The sequence below is a fragment of the Homo sapiens genome, chromosome 9 (genome assembly GCF_000001405.40).
Source record: "Homo sapiens chromosome 9, GRCh38.p14 Primary Assembly".
Taxonomy (NCBI): Eukaryota; Metazoa; Chordata; class Mammalia; order Primates; family Hominidae; genus Homo; species Homo sapiens.
In genome coordinates this window covers 8648046-8674729 of record NC_000009.12, presented here as the reverse complement: position 1 = coordinate 8674729, position 26684 = coordinate 8648046, and the positions used below count along the sequence as shown (strand labels likewise).

At 36.3% G+C, this 26684-nt stretch overlaps 1 protein-coding gene across 55 annotated transcripts in view; it reads left to right on the top strand.

Annotated features, from left to right (window-relative positions):
• PTPRD (protein tyrosine phosphatase receptor type D) overlaps positions 1 to 26684 on the top strand; it is a 2298757-nt gene that overhangs the window by 1938273 nt on the left and 333800 nt on the right. The window lies entirely within an intron of this gene.

The following is a 26684-nucleotide window of genomic DNA, read 5'->3' as shown; positions in this document are numbered from 1 at the left end:
AATCTAGCCCAGGGGAGCCAAACATTTTATATGTTTTAACAAGCTAAGTGATTTTATAAAAGTGCTGTTAGAAGGATTTATTTTAATTGGATGTTAAAACATACTGGTCTTAAATCACAGCTAGTGCCTTACTTAGAGCTCTTCCAGGTTAGCTTTCATAAGTAAAGTAGCAGAACTAATTTTTTAGCCATCAAATAATCCTTAGTATTGGAATTTTACTTATTTTTGCTTGTATTAACTTCATGCTTTTTTTTTTTTTTTTTTTTTTTTTTTGAGACAGCGTCTTGCTCTGCCACCAGGCTGGAGTGCAGTGGCGCGATCCCGGCTCACTGCAACCTCCGCCTCCTGGGTTCAAGCAATTCTCCTGCCTCAGTCTCCTGAGTGCCTGGGACTACAGGCGTGTGCCACCACGCCCAGCTAATTTTTGTGTTTTTAGTAGAGACGGGGTTTCACCATGTTGGCCAGGATGGTCTCAAGCTCTTGACTTTGTGATCTGCCTGCCTCGGCCTCGCAAAGTGCCGGGATTACAGGCATGAGCCAAACTTCAGGCTTTTTAAATGCTTGAATTGCACATTCAAAATAATTTTGGATGCGTATATGTGTGTGTGTGTCTATGTGATTTTTTGTTATTCCCATTTCATATTTATCACATCTTTATTCCGTCTTAGCTCCAGCAATGTGACACAGTGAAGGGAATAGTTTTACCATATTGCAGTGGGTCTCCACCTGGTGGGGAAGTTGTTTCCCAGGGAATATTTGGTAACGTTTGGAGACGTTTTTGGTTGTCAGAATAGGGGGCAGGATGTGCTACTGGCATGTACTGGGTGGGTGTCAGGGGTGCTGCTGAACATCCTGCAAGGCACAGGACAGCCCCAATGTCAATAGCACTTATAACAAATCATGCAGCCCCCAATGTCAATAGCACCAAAGTTGAGAAACACTACTTCAGTGCACTCGTTATGCCAATTGAACATACACAAATAGAGATATTTTCCTTAGCAGCTAAATTAAAAAATACTGGTGCTGCTTTGCATTCAGAATAAGAGAATAAATATACGAGGTCAAGAAATTAGAGGGATAAATTAAAAATATAGAAAGAGAAAAACATAAATGAGATACATTAAGGAGAATTAAAAATGGAATAGAAGGAAGAGGCAAAGTCATCTTAGTAACCATTACCCAGCTGTCTGTTATCTGGAAGGCTTAAGAGAGTGTAAATAAGTGGCAGTTGTGAGGTTCATATTTTCTTTTATAGTAGGAAAAGTATATGCTATTACTACTGTTATTATTAATAATTTATAGAGCATGAAAAATGTGTTAAGTGCAGTGCAGAATATAGACTCAGTCACCACCCAGAGGGTTTTAAGCTTATAATTAGGCAGATGGAGCCAACTCAAGCTTAGGATGGGGAAAATAGGTGACAACATGAGAAAGAGGTCATAACTTGCTTCAAATTTTGTTTTGTGCAATTTCTACTTACGTTTCAGTTAACCTTTAGCTGTGCGTATGTGTGTGTTTTCCTTTAAATGGAGACAGCCGCTGTGTTTCATAGAGAAAAATACTTTGAGAGATGATCTGATATTCTCAGAGAAAAAAAAAAATCAGCTAATACAAATTAGCTTGAAATATCTATGGTAAGATGTGTAAGGATATCTTAGTAGAAAAAAAATCAAGTGTTTTATGAAATACCTAAGTTTTGCAGGTTTGATAAGCTCATTTTAATATAGGAAATGGATAGGAGGTTTCTGATTCTTTTCCATATAAATTTTCCAGTTACATTTATTTGCTGTGTCTACTGTTTTTAATTGGCAGAATTGAAACAGAAAGATTGAGAGGATTTAGGCCTCTAAAAATACACCCCCACATACCCACCCACCCCCCCCACACAGAGTACAAAAATTAAGATGTTGGAAAATGAAGGTATGTTACATGTTCCTTGCTAACTAGGGACATTATATTTAGGTCCTTAACTAAAAATTTCATAATCAGTTGCCATTTTTATCTGTTCATCTGAAAGGAATACTATTTCAGGGACAGTATGTGACATCATCTATTTGTGAAGTGGTGCTTTCCTAAGAGTATTTAATAACTGGAGATTTGTTCATTAGAGGATATTCAATTTCTAACTTTACACCCTTTTTAATATTTTTAAGAAGTGAAATAGCAAATTAATGAGTAATTATAAGAAGGTAGAGTTAAATGTGTGTTACAAGGAACCCTAGCATGTCACTATTAATATCTGTAACATCCTGCCCAACCCTAATAAAGCACGAAAGATTACATTTAGACAAAGTTGAAGGTCTGAAATGAAAATTTTAGTCAATATGTTTTGTAGATATGTGTAGTGTCAAATTCTTTTGGGGAAAATTAATGTCTGTCTCAGGTGACTTTTCCCTTTAATTTGCATTTGGTATCATATGATGAAAACCCATTTGCATAAACTACTTGAATCTCATTCTGTTTAATTAGAGAGCTTCTGTACTAATAAAATTATTTTCACGTCTCAGCGAAGAAATGGATTTAAGAAGATCTAGAGGTAACTTAAACCAAGAAGGTTACATCAAAGGTTTTATTAGTGTTAGATTGACTTCAAATTGTCATGAACATGAACAGTAAACAACCAAAAAGATGGTACAACACAAATAGATAATTTAACACATGTATGAGGAGATAATAGCCTTAACTGGTAATTTAGTTTGAATGAAAACTTGTGAATGAAAACATTTTGTACCCATGAATGTTTATGGACTCGTGAGATGTTTACCTTTCCTGATGAATATTTGAGTATGTATGTAAAGAATGTATCTTTTCCAACATTTAGTTACTCCAATATCTTTGAAATTGTCCAAGAGAGTTTTCAAAGGATTCAGGACAAATAGTGCAAAGTATAAAAATAGGGTCCTTTCTAGATACAGTTCTTTCATATGGAACCACAAGAAAGGCACGCGGCGTGTTTTCTAAAAGTCGTAAGTTGCAGCTTTTGATGCAGCAGTCTCTTCAAGCAATAGGTGTGTAAAAAATAATTTCTGGAGATTTCTTTTTAGGTCTATGCCTCTTTAAATGTGCCCTTTTAGGTTACTGGAAGTGAATGTATTTCCGTATTCAGTGTAGGCATTTCTCTGATTCCTACAGATAAAATATTTGGCTAGGTACATTTTTAAAAAGTGGACTTTTTTTTCTAAACTGCTTTACAGTTTAGAAAATGGATTCAGGAAAATTCTAGCAATAAGTTTTAAAAGTATACTTACAGCAATAAGCTTTAAAAGTATCTTTAATATGTTCTGTATCCTGGGCGAACTTTCATTCCCTTTTGCTTCTTTTAATTTACATGATACATATTTCCTACCATTGTTACTTTTCCCCTTTTCCAAAACACCTTTTCAAGACTTACTAATTTATATGCCTTCCACTCTCATTTTACTTTAGTTGTATTTTAAATTCATTTAGTGAATATTAGTTTAGGGATGATACCTTGCATATATTTTTAAAAAATTAAATGAGAAGTATCGCATCATTTTTCTGCAAAATTAAGTTGTTCAAATTTTGGGTTATTCGTTTAGAATACATTTATTTTCTATTTTGTCTTTATTTTGTTTAATTGTATTCTTCACTTTCCTTTTTCAAGCTGATACTCTCCAAGCACACTGTATAGGTAGAAATGGAATATACAAGAATGTCTCTATTGCCACAGTATTAAGTGAAGGAAACATCCTCCCCCCACCTCCACATCCACACACACAGGCTGTGTTTGTCCTCACACTTTCAAGAAATTTTTGCCTTAATTCTTCACCACCTACTTCCCTTCAATCTGTCTTCCTCCGGAAAAACTCAGCTGCTCTCTCAAATGTACCAGTGATCCTCTCTAACTACTGAAAGAAATGTGCTTTTACTGGGTCTCATTCTCTGTCGCCTCTCTGTAGCATTTCACATACCCAGTGGTCATCCACACCCCTAGTCTTAGTTCTTCAGTGCTTTGGCAGGTGACCTATTGTCTTCTTGCTATTGGGGCACTGAATCTCTTTTTGTCATCCTTTCTTTTGGAACACTGTAAATGACATCCATTTCTGTCAACTGAATAGATTTTTAAAAAACAAATTTTATTATGCATATTTAAAGTTTAGAACGCGAAAGTATGGGATACTTATAGATATATAGAAACATATAGATAGCATAGTGGTTACTGTTGTGAAGCAGATTAACATCTGTCATCTCACATATTTTAGCTGACAAAAGCAGGTAAAATCTACTTATTAGCCAGACACAGAAAGCAAAATATTGCATGATCTCACTTACATGTAGACTATAATCCATACATTCAAGCTGATATAGCTATAGTAACCACTGTTTCATTCTCTGTGTAATGGATGTAATACACAGAGATACAGAATGAAACAGTGGTTACTACAGGTCAGGGGAGGGAAAGGAAATGGGAGATATAGGTCAAGAGGATACAAAATAGCAGATATATAGGACGAACAAGTCTAAATATCTAATGTACCACATAATGCCTAAAGTTAATACAGTTGTGTCTTATTAGGGATTTTCGTTAAATAAGTAGATCTTTTTCTGATGCCTTTTCCTCCTGCCCAAGTCAAGGGGTTAGAGAAGAAAACCATGGGTTCAAAGAGTGAACTGTCCCTCTGTTAGTGAGCTGAGTGATTTTTGATAATTTACTCACTTGTCTTACTTGATGAATTAAAAAAAAAAAAAGAGGCAGAAAACACCGACCCCTATAATCTTTCTCTTTAGCAATCTGAACTTCTTTGGCACAAGTAGGAGAGGAGAGAGAAAGCAGGACATCATTTCACAGGGACTTGCAAAGTTCTTGCTTGATATTTGATTAACTTCCCACTCCTCCTTCCTACAGTACTGCTCACTCTCTAGCTTCAAACCTTCACAGGCTCTACATTATTCATAACCTCCACGTTATTCATAACCTCTATGACTTCTTTTAACTGGCATTCCAGGTGACCCACCTTGTGACTCCAGCCTACTTTTCCTGGATTATCACTCACTTGGTTCTTGGACAAACCTATTTCTCTACTCTTACTCTTCTAATTTACTGTATCCTAAAAGGTCCTTGTCTCTCTTTGAAACTTCCAGATTTGCATGAGTTGGGGTTTCCACGACTTCTCCTTGAGGTGACTTGGATAGCACAGCAGCCTATTTCCTTCCACTAACCTTGGTGTCTTTTTATATGGGAGAATGGAAAATACTAGGGACTTCCTCCAGCCCCCAACCCAAACTCTAGGGATGGGATTTCCCACATCCTTCTCCCTGGTACACCTCACCACTGTCTGTCTGTCTTTCTGGTATGGACTGCATATTGGGTCTTATACCCTCAGAAATCTCTATAGCAGAAGTGAGCGCCAGTCTCTCTGCTCAGGTCTACCCCAGCCTTCAGGAGATACATGGTAAGAAACTTCTTTTCTCCATAGTGGAGGGGGAGTAAAACAGATAAGATGCCATATTCCTGAGCTCTCTGGAAGCTCTCCTTGAAATTCACCCCGCTACCCTCTAGTAACAGTACCAGAGTGGGGCTGTGTGCATCCAACCAAGGAATAAGAGGCCACTGTCTGCCTACATGCATCCCTAATCTTCTGAGTGCTGATTTTGAAACCTCATCACTTTGGGGCAAGGAGTACCTCCCTCCCCTTTCCCATAGAGAGGAGAGAGAATTGAGTCTTCTCTCTCTCCGCTGAACTCCCCACAAAGCTGTTCAGTGCTCCTCTTTGATCCTCTTCTTGTGACAGCTGGGGAAGGGGTGGACAGGCTGAGGGGAGGTACTTGTAGCAGGATCTGCTCTGGTATATTTTGGTCTGAGCTCAAGGTATGTAATTGTTCCCACAAGCTTCTGGCTTGCTCACTGCAAGCTATCTCTAACTTTTGGAATACTTTGCACTTTTTGTTCTCAATTTCAGATTGTAGACACAATTTTGAGACTAAGAAAATCCCTCTTGGAATTCTATTATAGTAAAGATTCGAGTTTTAATTGAAAGACAGTTATGAATCACTTAACACAGTGCATATACATTGCAATTTTCCAAATATTTTTCACTATTTTTATTGTTTTCGGCCTGCATTTTTTCTTCTAGTAGTAATTTCACCATCTCTTTATATAATTGACATTTTAAACAAGTAAATCGTCTAGTCTTTGTTTTGATGCAGTCTCTTAGTATTACAGTTAAGATTAAAAATCAGAAATTATCTTATTCTATGTAAGATGGTACTTTCTGGAACGCTTTGCCATACAGTTTGGCTTAATCTTGCAGTTGCCTGAAAGAGGAAGCACATGGAAAACTGTGGTGAACATATGTGTCTCCATGTATCTATCTGCATGTAATTAGAATGAAACCTGTCGAGTTTGGCTGAGTTTGCAAATTGAATATTCACCTAATTTGATCTATTTTTTGAACATCTAATTAAAGCCTCTTTTAGGTTAGAAGAATAATTATGATGATAAAGAATAGATTTTACTACAAAGAATAAATGAGCATGTGGCTTTCTTCAGACCTAGTACCTCTTTAGGTAGCATGACACTGTTCTTGGTGTTGCTTACATTGAGTAAAATGGTGCTAAAAGAGTCAGTTACCACTGGAATTTCTTTCCAGGGTGATATATTTTTACACTAGCACAACATGGTAGCCAGTGGTCATTGGGTATCTTCACTTTTGCAAAAAATTAAAAGTGACCAACTTAACCCCATGATTTATAGTTTATTTTCTAATTAGTGATCTGTATATTTTATTTCTTCTTAGTTTTTATTTTATTTTTATTATTTTTTACTGGGCAACTTCTCAAGCCAGAATAGGCTCAGAGAGACTCCCTATTTTCTTAATTTTCTTACTGAAACTGCATTAATTGCCTGTAGAATCAGGGTAATTATGATACAGGTTGAGTATTTCTTATCTGAAATGATCGGGACCAAAAGTGTTTCAGATTTTGGATTTTTATTTTATTTTATTTTTTTATTTTGGAATATTTGCATATACATAATGAGATATCTTGGGGATGGGACCCAAGTCTAAACACAAAATTCATTTATATTTTATATTTACCTTTCATTTATATTTCATGTATGTGAAATTTCATATAAAATTCATTTATATTTTATATGTCTTATATGCATTGCACAGAGATAATTTTATGCAATCTTTTAAATAAGTTTGTGCATGAAATGAAGTTTCTGTTAAGTACTTAGATGTGGAATTTTTCACTTTCGGTGTCATGTCAGTGCTCAAAAAGTTTTGGATTTTGAAACATTTTGGATTTCAGATTTTTGGTTTAGGGAAGCTTAACCAGTACATGAGGATATGTTGAACTGGTTGGATTTAAGAAACAAGATGGAAAAAAAATTGAATTTTCTGGTTTTGTTTTATTTATTTATTTAGAGACGACGTTTTGCTCTTGTTGCCCAGGCTGGAGTGCAATGGCATGATCTCGGCTCACTGCAACTTCTGCGTCCCGTGTTCAAGCGATACTCCTGCCTCAGCCTCCCAAGTAGCTGGGATTACAGGCGCCCACCACAACGCCCAGCTAATTTTTGTATTTTTAGTAGAGATGGGGTTTCGCCATGTTGGCCAGGCTGGTCTTGAACTCCTGACTTCAGGTCATCTGCCCGCCTCAGCCTCCTAAAGTGTTGGGATTATAGGCGTGAGCCATGGCGCCTGGCCTTCTGGTTTTGTTTCAAACTGGCCCTCCAAATTCCCTTTATTTTTGTGTATAATTATATTAAATAACATTGTTATAGATAATGTGCATACACAAGCCACAATGCTTGTGTCTTGTTAGAGATAATGTATGTACACAAGACACAATGCTTGTGCTAGTGTGAAAATATTAAGTTTTTAGTCGTACATCAGTTTGAGAAGGCGGAGGTCATGGATGGCCAAAGTGATATGTATTGTTGAATCCAGGTGGTGTAGCATTCACTCGAGGGGGCAGTTATGTTCTGCTAGATGTCTGCAGAAAACTCACAGGACATTCATTATACTGGAAACTACTGGGATGTAGAAATAATAGAGTTTAGTGTGTTGTACAATTTTGTCTCCTGTTATCAAATGAGTCACCTAGAAGTTTGCAGATCTATTGGCTAGAGGAGTGCATGTATTTTCTCTTCCAATTGTCTTAGAACAAATTTTTAGATATTGAGAAAAAGGTAGTTTCTGTGAAAGGAGAGTATTTGGCTTCAATTTTATTGCTAGAATTTTATGAGGCAGTGACACCTATAAGGGCTTTCTGATATGAAGCCATACGAATTCCATTCAGATTATGGCTTTCATTTTTAAACTATCTTCTCTTTTTTTCCCTTTCACATAAGATTTTTATGGATTATCCCAGGAAAATAACAGAAATAGAAAGAATAGTAAGCAGATCTCTAACTATTCCTTCTGAACAAACCATTTCATTTTATCCTGCATTGAATGTTGACTTAACACTTAAAATATTTGAAATGAATCATAATCAGCATTTTAGTTGTAGGTTCTTGTTCTAGTATGTTTAATGATTTGCTCAAATGTTGACACTTTTCTACAGCAGGGGAAAAAAATCTTCAATTTAAATTGTTGGATTTTTCAACCTGGGCCTTTAGTATAAAAATATGGACAAAATAGCATATTCTTTTACAATACAAAGCTGTAAATGCTGATAGTTTTAAATATAAAGTGATTTTCATTCAGAAAAAAAAAAAACAGTTATGAAACGCCTAAATGTGCAGTAATAATTACGGGGAAATAATTGTTCAGTTCTTTAGTTAACACACTTTATTTCATTGGAACACTTTGAATTAATAAACATACCCATGCATTTTTTTGTGACAGTAGTAACCACAGTGTATCTTATCAGATAATTAACTTTCACAAACATAATAACAAGTCTAAGGAGTAGCAATGACACTGTTACAGTAAAGTATTTCTTTGGATATTGAATTTTTAAAAGAACTGCTTAAATTCAAGCTTCTTCCTTCTTGCAAAGGGACTGTGACTTTTGTTACTATGTGTCATGCAGGGGCATTTCTGTGAAGAGAAATAAAAGTGGGGTGAAGGGAAATAATAGAGAAAAAGACAATAGGAAAAGCAGGAAAACAGATTTGGCAGTAAGTGTATACAGGTATTATGAAAAGTAACATCACAACTCTGGATTAGATGGGTAGAATGAATGTCTAATAATATCTGTATTGATCTTTAATTAGGGTAAGTGACTTAACAGTTGAGCTTTTCTTTCTAATTCAGGTAAGCTGTCCTCCTCTCAGTAGCTGTTCAAAGGATCAGCTCATGGAAAACAAAAACAAAAAACCCTGCCTTTTAATTCTTTTCTCTGTTTTGAAGTAATTACATTAAAAGCAAGCTCCAGATAATACAGTTTCAAGTGGACATCATGCTACTCCCCAGTGCAATGCAGCCAAGTCTACAGAGGGGAAGGGCTGCCTACAGTGGTTGTCAGAACAGCTGGGAGAGTATTAAGACCTGCTGCATTTTCGTGGGGACACAATGGCTAGCTTAATATTTGTTTCTGTTTTTCATAGCAATTTGACACATTTGAAACAAATAAACAAAATCTTACTTTTGATTAAAAACTGCTTGTGAAAGAACCACACCCTCCCTCCAAAAAAATTCGAACTCAGTTTTTGAGAATGAGCGAACATATTTTTTTTTTGCTGCTTTACTTTTATTGCTGTAGTTTGACAAAATCAAGGTGCATTCTCTGATAGATTTTAGTGTTCTGCTAAGAAAGCATGAAGTATTTTGCATTCTATCACTCAATTGTGTGTAGTTGGTGAACATTTCCCAGACTGTGCCAATTGAATTAGGTCTTCAGTGTACTGTTATTGTTAGAAGTTGAATGGTTAATTCTTCCCTTCTTAAGCTGAAGTGTACCTTTCTGTGATAAAACCATGGGACTCAAGAGATTGCATTTAAAACTTGGTGAAAAACTGAAAAATTTATTTATCTTTGTATATGAATATGACTGGGGAAATATTTTAAAGCAGCTTCTGGCTGTATGCAGGAATAGTGTAGTGTGGGGATATATACAATGTGAGTCATTACTGTGTCTCAGCAAACATGCATTTAAGAGGATTATATACCATAAACACCAGAGCTATCTGGAAGTATATGAGCTGGTGGTCTCTGCTCACTAGGAAAGTATAGATTGACTGGCAGGTGTAACTTTCATGCCACTTGGCTGATCTATCACATTGGAGGGAGTACTATATAAAGGCTTGTTTTTCCATGCTTCTTGGTGTGCAGTTTGATATCAGGGATGGGTGCTTGCCTTGTATTTGTACCCATAGTGCTTAAACAACAATTTGCCTTTATTGAAGAAAAGATTGGCAGCATCTACACACTTGTGTTCTCTATAGGAAAATGTCCGTATTCACTAAGAAAATTTTGAACCTTGATGGTCACGGTTAATATGATTCAGAAGAGTTGATAGATACACATGATGGTGATGAGAAATGAGAAGGAATATGATGCTTGGTCATTTTTTTAAAGGCTTATTAAGAGAAGATTCTGATATGAATCTTGAATGGATTTATTTGATGATAGGTGTAAACGTTTGCATATCTTCAAGTTTCTAGTGAAAGTTTGGAGAGGATGAAGAGCCAATTGGTTTTGCACTGTGTTGTAGTGTTCAGTCTCCAGATGATGTTGGTTAAAATAAAAGTTAATATCCTCTCGACATGGTAGAGATAATGAAAAGACTGCAGGAAATATTTTTCCATGACATCCGGAAAGATCTGTAAGCAGTGTGAAATATCAGAGATCGTCTTGGGAAACACAGTGATTTAAAAAACATTTTCCGCCAATTATTTAAGCTTGCTTTTTTTTTTTTAATGCACTTTGAAGACTTAATTGGTAATATCTACACTTTAATTAATCATTTTTGTGATTTCATTTAAGCAAATATAGTACCATCATGTTTCAAATATACTATTAAAGGCTGGGCACAGTGGCTCACACCTGTAATCCCAACATTTTGGGAGGCCGAGGCGGGCAGATCATTTGAGGTCAGGAGTTGGAGACCAGCCTGACCAACATGGTAAAACTCCATCTCTAATAAAATACAAAAATTAGCCGGGTGTGGTGGTAGGTGCCTGTAACCCCAGCTACTTGGGGAGGCTGAGGCAGGAGAATCACTTGAACCCAGAAGGCGTAGGTTGCAGTGAGCCAAGATCGCACCACTGCACTCCAGCCTGGGCAACAGAGTGAGACTGCCTCCCAATAAATAAATAACAACAACAAAAATACACTATTAAAATCCTCAATCACAGCTATGCTTTTACAATCACATGCAGAACAAAATTTCCCACCTAACATTCAGTGACAGTGATATTTTTTTTTTTAGTTTGGTAAATAAAAAGTTAACCAAAATTTTAATTTTCTTAATAGTAGCTTTTTCCTTGTGAGTCTTTTACCTTGTGGACCCAGAATTAAAAAAAAAAAAAGCCAATTATCTCAATACTAGTTTCGTTTTGGAAAGAAAAAAAACAAGATTCTTGGGTGTTCCATTCCTCAAACATGTTTGAAAAATATTCTCCTCATTATAAGAAGTATATTATTTAAAAAATTAGCTTTCAATCAAAAGACCAGTTGGAAGAGTCAGTTTCAAAAGCTCAATTCCAAATAGTTTTTATTTGATAAAATAAAAAGTATTTGACTTTTTATACCAGGTTTTATCATTGCTAACAGACTAATTATTCTGAGAAGTTTAGAGTTATCCAAGTGTATGAAAACAAAACCTTTTTATTTGTATATTCCAGACACCAGGAATTCCTTCCCTGGTGTGTCTCTACTGACTTTAGATAATATGCTTAGCATTTAACTTTTATATACATATGTAGAAAGAGGTTTCCTTTAAGATAATCATCATAAAAAGGTAAATGTGTGTGCCACAGAACCAAAATTTAAAACAGTTGTTTTCAGAAATGAATTTGCAAAATGGAAAAAAAATATCCATTTTAGTACGGGATAAAAGTTTGAGAATCACAAATTCAGATGCTTACAGGGTCCAGATAAAAGTGAAAAAATGGTCCTGATTTGAGGGAAAGGCAGTAGGGAGTATTGGGGCCTATGGTGAATTGGTGAGTCTATGCTACTGGGATGAACAAGTAGGAAGTGAAACCCTTGTGAGGGTTAGGTTTGGAGGTTGGAGAAAAGCCAGAGGATGAAAATTTCCATTTTTCCTAGGCTGTATCAGAGCCCTGAAGAGTTGTCTACAATTAGACAACAGGTGTGGGCTACAGATAGACTATAGTTGTATGTCATCTCTTCCCTGTTGTACCCAGACCATACCATGAACATAACCAGCAGCAGAGATGCTTCCTTGTCTCTTGATCCCAAGATTGGTGTTCTTCCTCAAGCATTCTCTTGTCATCCTGTTCTTGGAGTCTGACCTTTGTTTGTTTGTTTGTTTGTTTGTTTGTTTTCCAACATAGCAGTGACCCCGTTTCCCCAGTAACAAATGTAGGGACCGATTTTGATCTTCCTTTTGAGAGTTTGAACCTCGGTGCTCTTCATATACATTTATGTAATTAAACATGCAGTTGTGACTTGGTTGTCTCTCACTTATGTAAAATACATCAAATCCTCATAAGTTATTGTTCTTCTGTAGGTTTTGAAAAGCTCTATGAAAAACAAAACAAAAAAAAGTTGGCTCTGGTGGTATGCATATGGAGTCCCAGCCACTCAGGAGGCTGAGGGTAGAAGATCACTTGAACCCGGAGGTTTAAGACCAGCCTGGGCAACGTAGCAAGGCTTTACCTGTAGAATGAATGAGTGAATGAATGAATGAATGGGTAAATAAATAAATAAATAGATCCGTGTTGTAGACCAAATACTTAATTAGCTGTCCCTTTCAATATTTAGTGAAATGTACAAAATGCTATGAAGTTTTAGAATTAACCAGGAGGAGATTTTTCATTTTTACTTTACTATAACTGCATAGGTCACAAGCACTCAATAAGTGTCAATGGTTGGAGAAATAAAACACAAACACAGAAATAACTGTGAAAGTATAAATCAACATTCTTATCTTGCTTTTCTCAGCATATGGCAGAGTAATAGTAGAATATAATTGCTGATGGTATTGCAATTTTTTGTTTTCTGCTTTCATGCACAAAATTTTTAAACGTTAGTGAAAAGGAACAAGTGTTGTAAAATTACAGCTATTCTTACCTGTGTTAAACTTTTAAAGTGAACTTTTTATTTCTTTGTAAACATTTTATATTCTAACACTTTTATTGTTCCTAGACATTAAAATTTCCCTTTGGAATACAAAGTCATTTTTTCTATATGTCAGGCATAGTACTGCCTTGATACTAGATGTGGAAATGCCCCCACTATAAATACAACCTTCTGCTATAATTGGTAATGAGAAATAAGAGACTGATTTTGAATACTTGACAATGCAATTTAGAACAGTGAATCATATTCCTGGGCTGAACTGTGTATTGACCATGATGAAGAGGCGATTTCTCCTTTAGGATTTTCTCTGACCATTATAATAAGGTTTGATTCTTTTTAGTGTCCTCAGGCCAGGTAGATCTTTATGTCCAGAGCATTTTTGTCTCTTCAGCTTGTAAGGGTCTGGCATATGAAAAAGAGCAGGGTATTTATAGATACAATATCTGAACTTGGGACTGTTCTATAACCAGAAAAATGTCTGATTTTGAGAACAATAAGCCTCAGATTCATCATCTGCAAAAGGGAAATGATACAAGCTCTTTCATAGCCAGAGTGAGTGCAAGTGTTTGTGTGTGTGTGTGTCTCAGTTAAATGATAAATCTCATGTGATTTTCTGAGGTCTGAGATGCCATATGAAGGTTAGTTTTTAGGGAGTCATATTGCTCACTGTTACTGCTATCCAGGACAACTGTCAGGTTGTGGAAGGTCCTGTAAGTTGATGGAAGGAATGAAATTTAAAAAGGTAAAGAGTAAGTGGAAAGTCAAGAGTCCTTGTATATAAAACCTTACTTCTTTGAGGTTTGCTTTTTGATTGCTCTGCCTGATACAATATAGGGCTTAGCAGGACCAAATGCAGAGTATGTGAAGTCATTGCAGAAGAAAGAACAAGTCCAGTTTAGTTTGTGGTTTCAGAGGTGGAATCATGGCAGTCTGCCAGGGTCAAAAGGAGAAGTTCACTGAGGGGCTGGGAGCCAGCTGGGGAGGATCCTGGAGGCATAACTGAAAATGGGAGCCAAAGATCAGTAACCAATAAAGCAGACTCAGTAATAGGAGACAGGAATGTGAGAAACAGTGTTTTTTATGACTCCAACTAATTTGGATAAGTGTTATCTTTTTGAATGCATCTGACCCAGTCATCTGCCACCAGTGGGCTTAACCCTCAAAGCACTGTTACGAACGGAGCCACACAGAATCAAAAGCGGAAAAGGAAAACAAATAATACATGCAAGTCCTATAACCTTTAAATATTTGTGATGGTAAAAAATAAATCCCTGTTACGTGTATGGCTATTATTGCTTAGCTTAGATTATTGATTCTTCTATAGGATATGTGCCTGTGTAAGACAAGAGCATGTACATGCTATATTTCAGAAAGATTTCAACCAAATGTGGTTAATATTTGGGGAAACTGAGGTGGGTATGTTTGCTTTTTGGGAAAATAATTTCTGAAAAACACATTTGCAATTCATTAGGAAGTGGTAATGACTATGTTACACATTTTTGTACCTGAGGAACAGAGGGTGTCTCCACCAATTTGGATGAAGTTGTTTTGAACAATTCTTTTTCTTATAATAGGTATGATATTGCATTATCTTTTGAACCAGTCTCTCTCTCTCTCTCTACATTTATTCTTCATTGGTGAATAATTCCTTTACACTGCCATGATAATATTCTTTCTCTAGATCAAATATCATCATTGAAGAGGAATGATTCTAATAATTTAGAGAACGTTGATATTAATTGTAGTGACATCTAAAACCATAGGTAGAAAATTTTTAAATTTGGAATCCTTCTTTATTCTCAAACAGATCCCTGTAAAATGATGAAATGGCTGTGAACAGCCCCATATTTGCTTTAAGGATTTCCTTCCTTTTCTATTTGCCCCAATCAATTACTTCTGTACCCTCTTCTTGGTCCAAGACCCCACAGATGGGAATCCACTCTACTGGTATTTAAACTTTAGATAGCTTGTTACTTCAGAACATGGTGTAAAATAAGTTAGAAGTGATAGAAACCTTCAAAGATATATTCCTGGATGGAGAGGGTTAGAAACCTTTCCTCTTGACTGGTTTTTATTTAGTAGTAGTATTTGAAAATACTGATGGTCATGGTGATAACAACAGGTTGGAATCTGGAGGACTCTTGATGGGATAGTGTAATATTTTGGCTCATAAAATATGGAATTGTTGCCTTGTCTTAAATCAGTTTTCAGCTGGAACATTTTGTGACTTCTCTGGCATGGTAGCCACCATCTGGCCAACACAGTCTCCTGAGATTCTTGCAGCCAAAGTGTCTCAGCATTCACTTGAAGAAATTCATTTTAAAAATGTCTCCAAATCCTCAAGGACCATGGCTAGCAAAAATGTGGATATGCATCTGAGAGGCATAATTATCATGCCCCTCTCATTCAGAAATGTTCTGCTTCAAAGGAATGGCACAGTGTCCTTCTTGATTTTGTCACTTTTTTTTTTTCCAGTTACTTCTTTTGACATTGTTGAAGGATGAGAATAAGTTCAAGGCTTCCTAAGGATGAAGGAAGCAAAGGGCCTGCGGCAAAAATATAATCATGAACGATTAGAGGAGATGCTATGTAAAAATTGGCACTAAAGCTGGATTTTGGAGCCTCATTAGCATTTTAGTTAATTGTCTAGATATCCATTGCAATTGTATTTATTTATGTTGGTCATTTTATATATCAGGGATTCCGTATCAAGGAAATGTAGTATTCCAGCCTTCTTGAAGGAAATACTCTACAATGGTAGAAATAGATACCGCCTCATCCTTTGTAGCTAGGGTAGTGTTTCCATCTAGATACAAAAAAAGGACAAAAAAAGGAGAATTTCTGACTTGTCTTCACCTTTTTTTTTTTTTTTTTCCAAATGTGCTTTTATCTAGATGCTGCACAAAATTGCAAAACTAATTATGGGGCCAAATTCATATTATTTTGTGGATCTCTGAGGATACGTATGAGAGAATCTAGTCCTCTTGGAGGAAATACTGAAATCATTTTTTAAAAATAGACATATTGGCTACTGGTACTAATAGAAAAATATCTTTCTTGATAGTTAACTTATTAAAAACTGCTCATTGAAGCTCTCAATATGTCCTTTGTGGGAAAAATTGCCTTAATGGGAAAGGTCAGAACAATTTAATAGGACACAATGTGAGTTCTGAGAGGGACTCACAGTGGTTCTCATATAGCACTTGTTAATTTACCAAATATTGAACATTTATTGCAACTAGTAGTAAGGATTTTAAAAATTAAATTGCTATTTACATATAAACTTCCATAATAATAGGCTTAAGAAAACATCAGTCCTTTATAGAGCTCCTTTAATTCCCATAAAATCTGTTATACATGTTATCTGTGGGTGTTCACTGCTATTGTAATTAGGCAACATGTTAGGGTCCAAATAAGCTGAAAAGAATCAGTTTAACTTCTACATTTTCTGCATTATTCTCTCAATTCAGTTATTTCGGGGAGAGATAAAAGAACAAAGCATATTCTCTGTACATCATTAATTAAAAAGACAAGCAATATTTTGCTGCTAAGATTTTTGGCCAAGCCCAAATAAATTTGTGAAATCCAGAAAAAATAATTTGATAATTTATTATAAAGTATTACAAAAGGATGTAAAACATTATTATAAGAAATAATTTGAAATGAAATCTAAATTGTTATGATCATGGAAATAAGTCAGTTTAGTTAGATAGACTTTTAGTGAGAGACTACTGTGTGCCTTTAAAAAAAACCCATGTGCCAATTTCTGCAGAGGATATAAAACTTAGACTTAGTAAAATGTATGCTTTCCTTAGTACCATTCAGGACATAGGCACGGGCAAAGATTTCATGATGAATACCCCAAAAACAATTGCAACAAAAGCAAAAATTGATGAATGGGATCTAATTAAACTAAAGAGCACAGCAAAAGAAACTATTATCCAGACTGAACGGATAACCTACAGAACGGGAGAAAATTTTTTCAACGTATTCATCTGACAGATATCTAATATCCAGACTCTACAAGGAAATTAAACAAATTTACAAGAAGAAAAAACCACTATTAAAAAGTGGGCAGGCCGGGCACGGTGGCTCACGCCTGTAATCCCAGCACTTTGGGGGGCCAAGGTGGGTGAATAGCCTGAGGTCAGGAGTTCGAGACCAGCCTGGCCAACATAGTGAAACCCTGTCTCTACTAAAAGTACAAAAAATTAGGTGGGTATGGTGGTGGGTGCCTGTAATTCCAGCTACTCAGGAGGCTGAGGCAAGAGAATCACTTGAACCCGGGAGGCAGAGGTTGCAGTGAGCCAAGATTGCACCATTGCACTCCAGCCTGGGCAGCAAGAGTGAAACTCTGTCTCAAAAAAAAAAAAAAAAAAAAGTGGGCAAAAGACATGAACAGACACTTCTCAAAAGAAGACATACATGTGACCAACAAACATATGAAAGAAAAGCTCTGCATCACTGATCATTAGAGAAATGCAAATCAAAACCATAATGAGCTACCATCCCTCGCCAGTCAGATTGGTAATTATTAAGTTTATATTTCTTAAAATTAATAATTCATAAACTTTCATCTTTACAACTTACTATTGGTAATGTGATAATTTCTGTGATGTAAAGCTATGTGATTTCAGGGTGTTCCAGTTTTCTTGTACAGTGACAGGTTGTAACACTCTTTGAATTTATGACATATCAGCTAGTTTGTCACTGACATCCTCATCTAAGGAACTGGATGAGTTAATAAAGTGAGCAGTAGGGAGTATTCCCAGAAACCTTTCCTATACCGGAAGGCCAGTAATAATTTAACTGTGAACCATATAAAGATATTCTGCTAAATCCAAAACAAATATATTTCAATTCAGCTTCCCTAGCTGGACCCTGCAAAATTTCCTGTAGCTTTCTAACACCACTGTGTGTGAAGGTAAATAAGAGTGGCCTTCAAATGCTTGGGAGGGAAATACCTCACTATTACAAATTGTATAATGTATTTGACCATGCCAGTGTGACGTGTGGTACCTATGCAAGGAAAGGGTCCTGAAGCTGAAGCTTCCTAAGGTCAAGGTAAATCTACTTCTGGCCATGAGAGAGGCCAAACAGTGATACATGAGTTCAGAGCCCTTAGAAATGATATTCGATTGGGGATTAGAAAAGATTTCACCCAGGAGAAGGCATTTGAGATGGCTCTGAAAGTGGAATCAGCTTTCAAGAAGCAGGTGTTTTAGTGAAAATATTTTTGAATAATGGAATAGTCTTAACAAATACACAAAAAGGTTGTAAAATTTTAGTATGCTAAAAGATCATCTGGAGGAGACATTTGTGACACAAATTCCCAGGCCTTACTGTGCCATTCTGATTCAGGATCTGGTCTCAGAGAATATGCATCTTTAACAAGTAACAACAGGTGATTCAGTTGTGGGGGGCTGTTGGGCAGTATTTTGAAATAAAAATGTTAAAAAATGTTTTTTTCATAAAAGGCTAGGAGTCTGATTTGTTTATGAATAGTGAGAGTTGATGCTATCTCGGGTAAATTAGAGATGTAAAAAGTCTTGTCTGATAGGTTTAGCAAATTCTTTGAACAGGACTTTCTCTTCTGCACTAAGTAGGCAATAGTAGCGAACCATGGAAGATTCTCGAACAAGGTCATGGCCTGATTGCAACTGCACGTTTCTTGGATAGCACTGTCTATTTAATGGTTTGGGTGAGTTTGGAAAGACCAGAAGTAAGAATAAGCAAGTGCTGCCAAAGATACAGTAATATAAAAGAAAAGGGTGAAGGAGATATTAAAAAAAGAAAAAAAAAAAAAGCAAGTGGGAATGGTTGAGAGAGTCATGCTCTAGGGAATATAAAAAATAGAAAGATTGTGAAAAAGTTCATATATGTGGCATTTCCAGGGGCTCTGCTGGTGATTGAAATATATTTGTTCATTAATTACTGACTTTTTCAAAGCTTTATGTTTAAATCTCCTTTATGTTTTTCTATACACACCTTCATATTCATATTGTTGTTTAAAATTTGAAGTTCAGATGTTAAAGATCTAAAGTTGGTAAAATGAGGCACACTATTTCCAGAAAATGCTTTTTATTATTCAGGGGTGAAGGACCACTGTGAATTTAAAAACAAATTATGTTGTTGCAGCTTTGCTCTTTTTAACCCCTAAGTTACAATAAATTCTGGCCACAAAACAAGACACATCAGCCTTTCTGCGATCAAACTATGAATTCTACTTACAATTATAAAACACATTTCCCCAAAGAGGCAGGGGAGGAAAGCAGAAGTTGTATTTGTTGATTATTTAGGTGCCTTAGAGAAGTATCACATGTGAAACCTGCTTACATAGGAAACCTTCCATGTCTTTTTGGATAACCAGAGAGTTGAGTACTTTATCAACTAGGCTGGATTGCCACTTTGTGAAGACTATCCTCTCATCTTTCCTATTTTTTTAACTATTTAATTTTTTTGAATCGTTGATTGCTTGTTGTTAATCTAATTCCAATTACATTTACAAGTTATGTTTAGGAATCTTGAATGAATTCCTATTATCCTACGTTTTAGTATGTGAAATTGTTTTTCTTATGAAAAAAACAATCTTGCTAGAAAGATTGATGAAGATGCTACAGGGAAAGTCTAACAGAAAAAAAGAGCTAATAATATCACATATTAGGGTCAACTTGAGAAGCTAGTACAGTTCTGGCAAGTTAATGGTCTTGAACAATATTGCCTTCCTAATGACTAAAATCCAAGGATAAATAAATACATAGGAAGGGAAACCAATTACTGTAGTCATGTATTAAGTTTATTTTTTACCAAAAATAATTATTGGTTGTTTCACTTAGGTAATTTTTCTTTATTATAACCCTTAATGCTTATGAAAAATTGAAAATACATTTAAGTTTCTGGCAGTTTGAATTTGACAGAGGGAATATAATCTTTGTATGTATCTTTTTTACACTGGCTTACATGTATATATAATGATTATATAGCTTTGTCAATAAAAGCATAAGTAGGTGCCTAATTCATAAGTATTTCTTTTTCTTGTATTTTGGCTTTAACCAAATATGCTCATATGTACAGGGTATATGCTTAAATCTTATGAACTCGTCGTTTACTCCATAAACTTTAGTGGAAGCATGATCCTTGGTGAGCGTTGTAATATCGGAGGAGTACCCACTACATATCATGCCTTTTGTTGGCTCACAGTCTAGCAGAAGAGAGAGAAGATGAACACTTATAAGCTAGGTGAAATGTGCAGAAATTAAAATATTTAAATGGAATAGAGCAGTACCAAGTAGGGGGTAGTTGACTATGTTTGGAGGCATCTGAGCTAGGGTGACCAACCATCCTGTGGTTTCTTGAGATACAGTCAGTAGTTTTGGTGCTAAAACTTAGGATGTTTTCCCAGGAGACATTTGATAATGTTAGATTGTCACAACTGGTAGCTAGGATGTTAGTGTTATCTATTGGGTAGAAGCCAGGGATGTTGCTCAATCTCTTGCAATGCACAGGACAGGCTCTACAACAAAGAATAGTCTGACCCAAAATGTCAGTAGTGAAAGGCCCTGTTTTAAGGGGAAGTAGCTGTTAAAGAGGAAGAGAGTGAAGGTGCTGATTATGTAGGGAGATGGGACAATTGATGCACCAAGGTTCCTAGGGCATGGCGAAGAGGTGGATCAAGAGCACAAGTGAAGCAATTGGTCTTGAATAAGATAAAGGGAAAAATGGTTTCTAAGTTAGAAATTCGTATACAGTGAATAGGATGTGACTTGCCATCAAGTTCATGTTTGATGGCATTATTTTATCTGTTGATGTAGGAGGCAAAAGCATCGATCTCTTGGAGGTGAGAGGTCAGTGCAGTGCTGATTGCTGGAGAGTAGTGAAGGGTGGGAGGTTGATTGATAGATGACAGAGGGGTATAGTTGAGGCTGTAGATCATGAATTTGCAACGGTACTAGCCCTTACAGTGTTGTGATTTCTCAGGCAAAGCTTAGCCATTCAGAACAGACTGGGGATTCTTAAGGGAAAGGAACTGTGTGGAAATATACTAAAGGGTTCAGGACCACTGGTGGGAGCTGTTTGACTGTTTGGAACATGGGATGGGTAGTGAAGGATGGCAGAACCTTTATATTGACCCTTTAAAAAAATAATGACTATATTACCGAATGCTTTGTATGTAATCCAGTCTAAGTAAAAGTATAACTGTGTTGTTTTGCAATTTCTAAACACTGTTTTTGTCTTTCCCTGTAGTTTACTTTGACTTGGAAAGATGCTCTGGCAGCCCCCAGAGGCCATTTATGTAGCGAATTGGAGTAACTAATAGATATTTAATTATTAACTGCAGCCCATCCCTTTAGATTTCTCTTTTGTCTTTTTCCCTCTGAAACAACAGCCCTGAAAGGAGATCTACTTTCATGGCATTTTTAGATCCATCTCAAAAGGCAGCTTTTACTCTGTCTAGGTTACCAAAAAACTTCAGACAGTAAAATTGAACAAAGGTGCTACAGAGAGCTTTAAAGCACCTTTCCTTTCATTAAATTAGTGACTATGACTGGGTTATATAAAGATGGAGGGAAAGAAGCAGCATGTATCACTCAACTTTTGAGATCCCAGAGGCTTTATCTTTACATTTGGTATGGAATAAAGGCTTATCTCACAATAACCTGCAGACCCCTTTTCTAATTCTCTAAGATTAAATTCATCTAGAATCTCATGTGTGTGACCTGGCATACATTCCCAAATGCTTCTGTTACTCAAATACAAGAAAGCATTTTCTTCTTATCATCATGATCTGTGGACACTAAAAAAACACTTGGGATCTTGTATCTAACACTCAAGTACTTGGGATTACACATTCATATTTTAGAGTGGTGCAAAAAGGCCAATGTTATTATACAAGTGGAATCCCTAGTATTTATAACAGTATTTTTAGCTTCTAAAGCTAAGTCCAACCTGGGAGGAGGTCCTAAAATGGTGTCATTCTGTTGTAGCCAGCATAACCTGGTCAGTGCAGCTCTGTTGGATGAAAAGCATTGCTACAGCATGTCTTAGTCTGGCAAGAGGCTTGGGTATCTGCAAATGTGTTCTAAGGATAGCAGGGGGCTGGGCCCATCAGCTGTCAGCCACAGCTTCTGTTTATGCTGTGAACAATAGCCGTGTGCCAGGGCAGTAATTATTGGTTGATTTTCCTTCTAAAATAAGTGTCCTAATAATTTGTCACAAAACCAACTTAAATTGCTATGATGTTGCCTGCAATAGTTAAATTAGGGGAAAAAGAGAAAAAAGGAAAAAGAAAAATCCACCACCAGAAGTGTTTCAGTTTATTTCGGCATGCATTCTATATTGGTAAATAGTGTCATTAAAATCTCATTTGAAGGTTTTTCAAAAAGTTTATTTCTGTGTGGGAAAATCCTTTGTTTTCTTACCTAATACCCTGAGCTGTAAATTAGAGGACAGGGGAAAAAGTTAGCTGGCAAATAAAGGTCCTTACTGTCTGTGCTTCTTTGGAAAGCCTCCCATATTCCTGGGGCTCAGATAATGTGTTTCTCTAGAAAAGCGTGCATAATCGGCACTGAAATGAGCTGCTACCAGGGTCTGCACTGCCTGGGGATACAAATTAGGGACTTGATATTTGAAAAGTAATCCAACTGAAAATTGTTTCAAGAATATTCGTGTAGTGTTACCTTGTGTCTATAGTGCCAAGTGTTATCCAAGTTCTCTTACCAGGAGAGGTGAAATGCATATTCATGTTCACAAATTTAATGCCATTTGGAAAAAGGTAACAAAAAGATTGGCCAAAACATAACAGATTTCGGTGAGGGAGAAAAAACGGCCCTTCCCCCTCTTTGAGTTGATTTTTTAAATTTGTAGTGTGTATGTGTTTCAGTTCACAGAAGGCAAGAATGAAACATTTTCTCCTCAGATTTAAAATGCTGTCATGGAAATGTTGATAGAGTTATTTTACAGAGATGTAGCTGGGAAGGAAAAAAAGCAAAAGAACTACATTACTGCATTACACTGTGTTCCATCTAGAACTCATTTTATTAAAGTTCTTCATGGGTTTATTTCCATCTACAAACCAAGGAATCGTACCCTAGCCTCTATCCGTGTGCCAGGTTCCGATTAACATCAATTTGAGTTCTCTGTGTGGACAGAGTTAGTTCATGGCCTTGGGTTATCATCTATTATTATCACTGCTTGCTTGTACATGCCTTCAGAGCCCGAGCATAGAACCAGTTGTCATGCTTTCCATCTTTTGTACCCCCAAATAGCTCACTCAGGAGAATTTGTGAATGGGCGGGGCCACTGTGTGAAAATGCAGAGATCCATCGTGGTTAGCAAGATTAAACGTGGGGAGACATCTGCAGAACGCTTTTCTCATAATCATCTTGCATATATGAATATAGATTCTTTCTCTTCACTCTAAAAAAGAATTTGGATATTTGTGTAGAAAAGATGGACTTAATATGTAAAATAAATACCGTTTGGTTTCTTGCTACATGTGCTCAATTGGAAGTATACCAGAAAATAAGAATTTTAATATCCTACAAAATGTTATTGGTTCTAATGGTTACCTGATACTGAATGAGAATATTTGGAAGCCTGCAAATCATTGCCAAATACTTTTCAGCTTAGAGCTTTGGGTCTGCAGAGAAATGAATTAAAAAAAAAAAAAGAATGCTAAATTTAGTGAAAAATATCTGGAAGGGACATAGACACATACCTAAAATTTCCATAGGACCAAAAATAATTATACTTACTTTAAAAGGTATTGAATGCCTACAACATGTTAGGTATTGCACAAAATAAAACTGACATGAACCTTATAAACTTAGAATATGATCTCTGTCAGGGTATTGGTCTAAATGTGAATAATGCTGGGCATTTTTCAGTATATTTTTTAAGTCACTGTTTCATTTGCAAAAACACTGGTGTATAGGCAAGTCAACTTTATTTTTTACTTTGCCTTTTATGTTTCCCGTTGTTTATCCATCACGTATCCACTTTTTTTTTTTTTTTTTTTGGAGGCGGAGTTTTTTGCTCTTTTTGCCCAGGCTGGAGTGCAATGACACGATCTCGGCTCACCGCAACCTCTGCCTCCCAGGTTCAAGCGATTCTCCTGCCTCAGCCTCCCGAGCAGCTGGGATTACAGGCATGTGCCACTGTGCCTAATTTTGTATTTTTAGTAGAGACAGAGTTTCTCCATGTTGGTCAGGCTGGTCTCAAACTCCTAACCTCAGGTGATCCACCCACCTCAGCCTCCCAAAGTGCTGGGATTACAGGCGTGAGCCACCGTGCCCGTCCACATATCCACATTCTTATTAATAAGTTGCCCTTGCTGAGTGTGGGCTCATGCCTGTAATCCCAGCACTTTGGGAGACTGAGGCCGGAGGATCACTTGAGCCCAGGAATTTGAGACCAGTCTGAGCAACATAGCTAGACCCCATCTCTACAAAACATTTTAAAAATAGCATGGTGTTGTGGCATGTGCCCATAGTCCTCGCTGCTCGGGAGTTTGAGCTGGGAGGATGGCTTGAGCCCAGGAGGTGGAGGCTGCAGTGAACCATGATTATGCAACTGCAGTCCAGCCTAGGCAACAGAGTAAAACCCTGTCTCAACAAAAAAACAAATTAAAACATTAAAAAAATAGCCCTTAAAGTAAAATGTTGCGTACCAAGAAAATATTTTTAAATAGCCAAATATTTAAGCATCTTATCATTGGAATCATCTAATATTTTAAAAGTCATAATATTTAGAAGTTAATATTAATTATAGACTTTCCTTAGGAAATATGTATTGTAAAACTCTATTCTATAATTAATCTTTGTAATAAAAACTCAGGCAAATCACTTTCCATTGTATTTTGTGCTACATGAAACATTTTTGTTATGTATCAAAATTGTGTATCTATAAAAATGTTTTTTTGTTTACAAAGATTTCTTATAATACACTTCTACATTTCTCCAGTAAATACAATCAAACATCATTTTAAATCTGTTTTATTACTCATTGAAAGTGTCTGCATGTGTACACACACGTCTCCCTTCTGTGTTATAGCTACTTTGGGGATATAGTAGCTACTTTCACTTCCCAAAGTATCTTGCCAACTTAACCAGTGTGCAGTTGATAGATGAGAAGTTGTGGTCAGCTTATCCTGTAAGATGGATCTATCTTAAAAGAAATGGTCTATGTTTTTGTAAGTTGTGGTAATAACTCACTTTGGTTGGAAGGCAAGCGTTACAAAAATTCATATTGGCTCAAAGCCTTTCAGCTCATACAGTGACACCAGCAGATCTTCTCTTTGTGGAACTGGTTTACTACTGTTTCTAAAGTGAAGCTAGTACAGTTCATCACACTAGTTCCTCTTAAAAATTCATGTAGTTGATACACTGGAAATATTGTATAGAAGAAGTGGCAGGATATTCTGGAGTTTGGCAACATAAAATTGGGAAAGATGGCATTGTTCTTTATTTTTCTCTTTCTTTCCCACTTCAGTTTTATCCGCTCTCATGTTCCTTTTCAAATAAGCCAGTTACCTTTCCTGTGTGACCCAATTTGCAGGTACATGATAAGCAGCAGGTTAGAATAGAGAATAAATGATTATTTTTAATGATGATCAGCACATCTAATGTGATAAATTATGATTAATGAGTAAATTAGCAGTGGATGATGTAAATGAATCTGCTTTGAAAACTAACTCTACAAAAAGATGCTAAAGCATTGGTAGAGGTTCTTTTTGGTCAAATAGTGTGTCTATATTAAATGGCTTCCTGAGTATGTTACCACTTAAAGGAAATATGAAAAAAGCTGATAAGCATTGTGTCATTTGCCTACATCTCTGCTGAATGAGCCTGGGAGATTGTATGTAATGCATAACTTTCTCATCTGTTTCAGTATAAGGGCCTTTTATCACTCTATTGAACAAAACGGATGCACAGTCTGAGTATTTTGAATGCATAAATAGGTAGTAAGCAAATCTAGAGGCTTAATGTGGAAGATGTTAAGTGAATGTCTAAATGGTGTTGCTGATAACATGTTTTCATTAAGAATGCATGACTATGGCATAAGGAATGGTAAGAATGACTTCACAGATTTTGTCTATGAGTGATTCAAAACCACTTAGGCCATCTTCTTGAAATTTATGTCACTAAACCAGTGGTTATTTTGAGTGTCTTACACCAAAACAGAATGGCCAGCCTTACTAAGCACATCAATAGTTCAGGAAGTTTTATTGCCCGGGCACACAGAATGTAGGTGATTGTTTTTGTCATAATATCCCATGACTGTTTATTAAATAAAAAGTTATGATGGTGAGATCATACAGTTTTCGTTGCTGTAAAACACGTGTTTATGATCCAGGTATTATTATACCTTGAATTATGACAAATTTCCCTCAAACATTGGAACATACCATTTCCACTTTTCTGCTCTGACCCACGTTATGGTCTTCATGCATGTGTATTGTCCTGTTGTAATGCGTGTGCTTGTGTTGTGAATAGCAGAAGC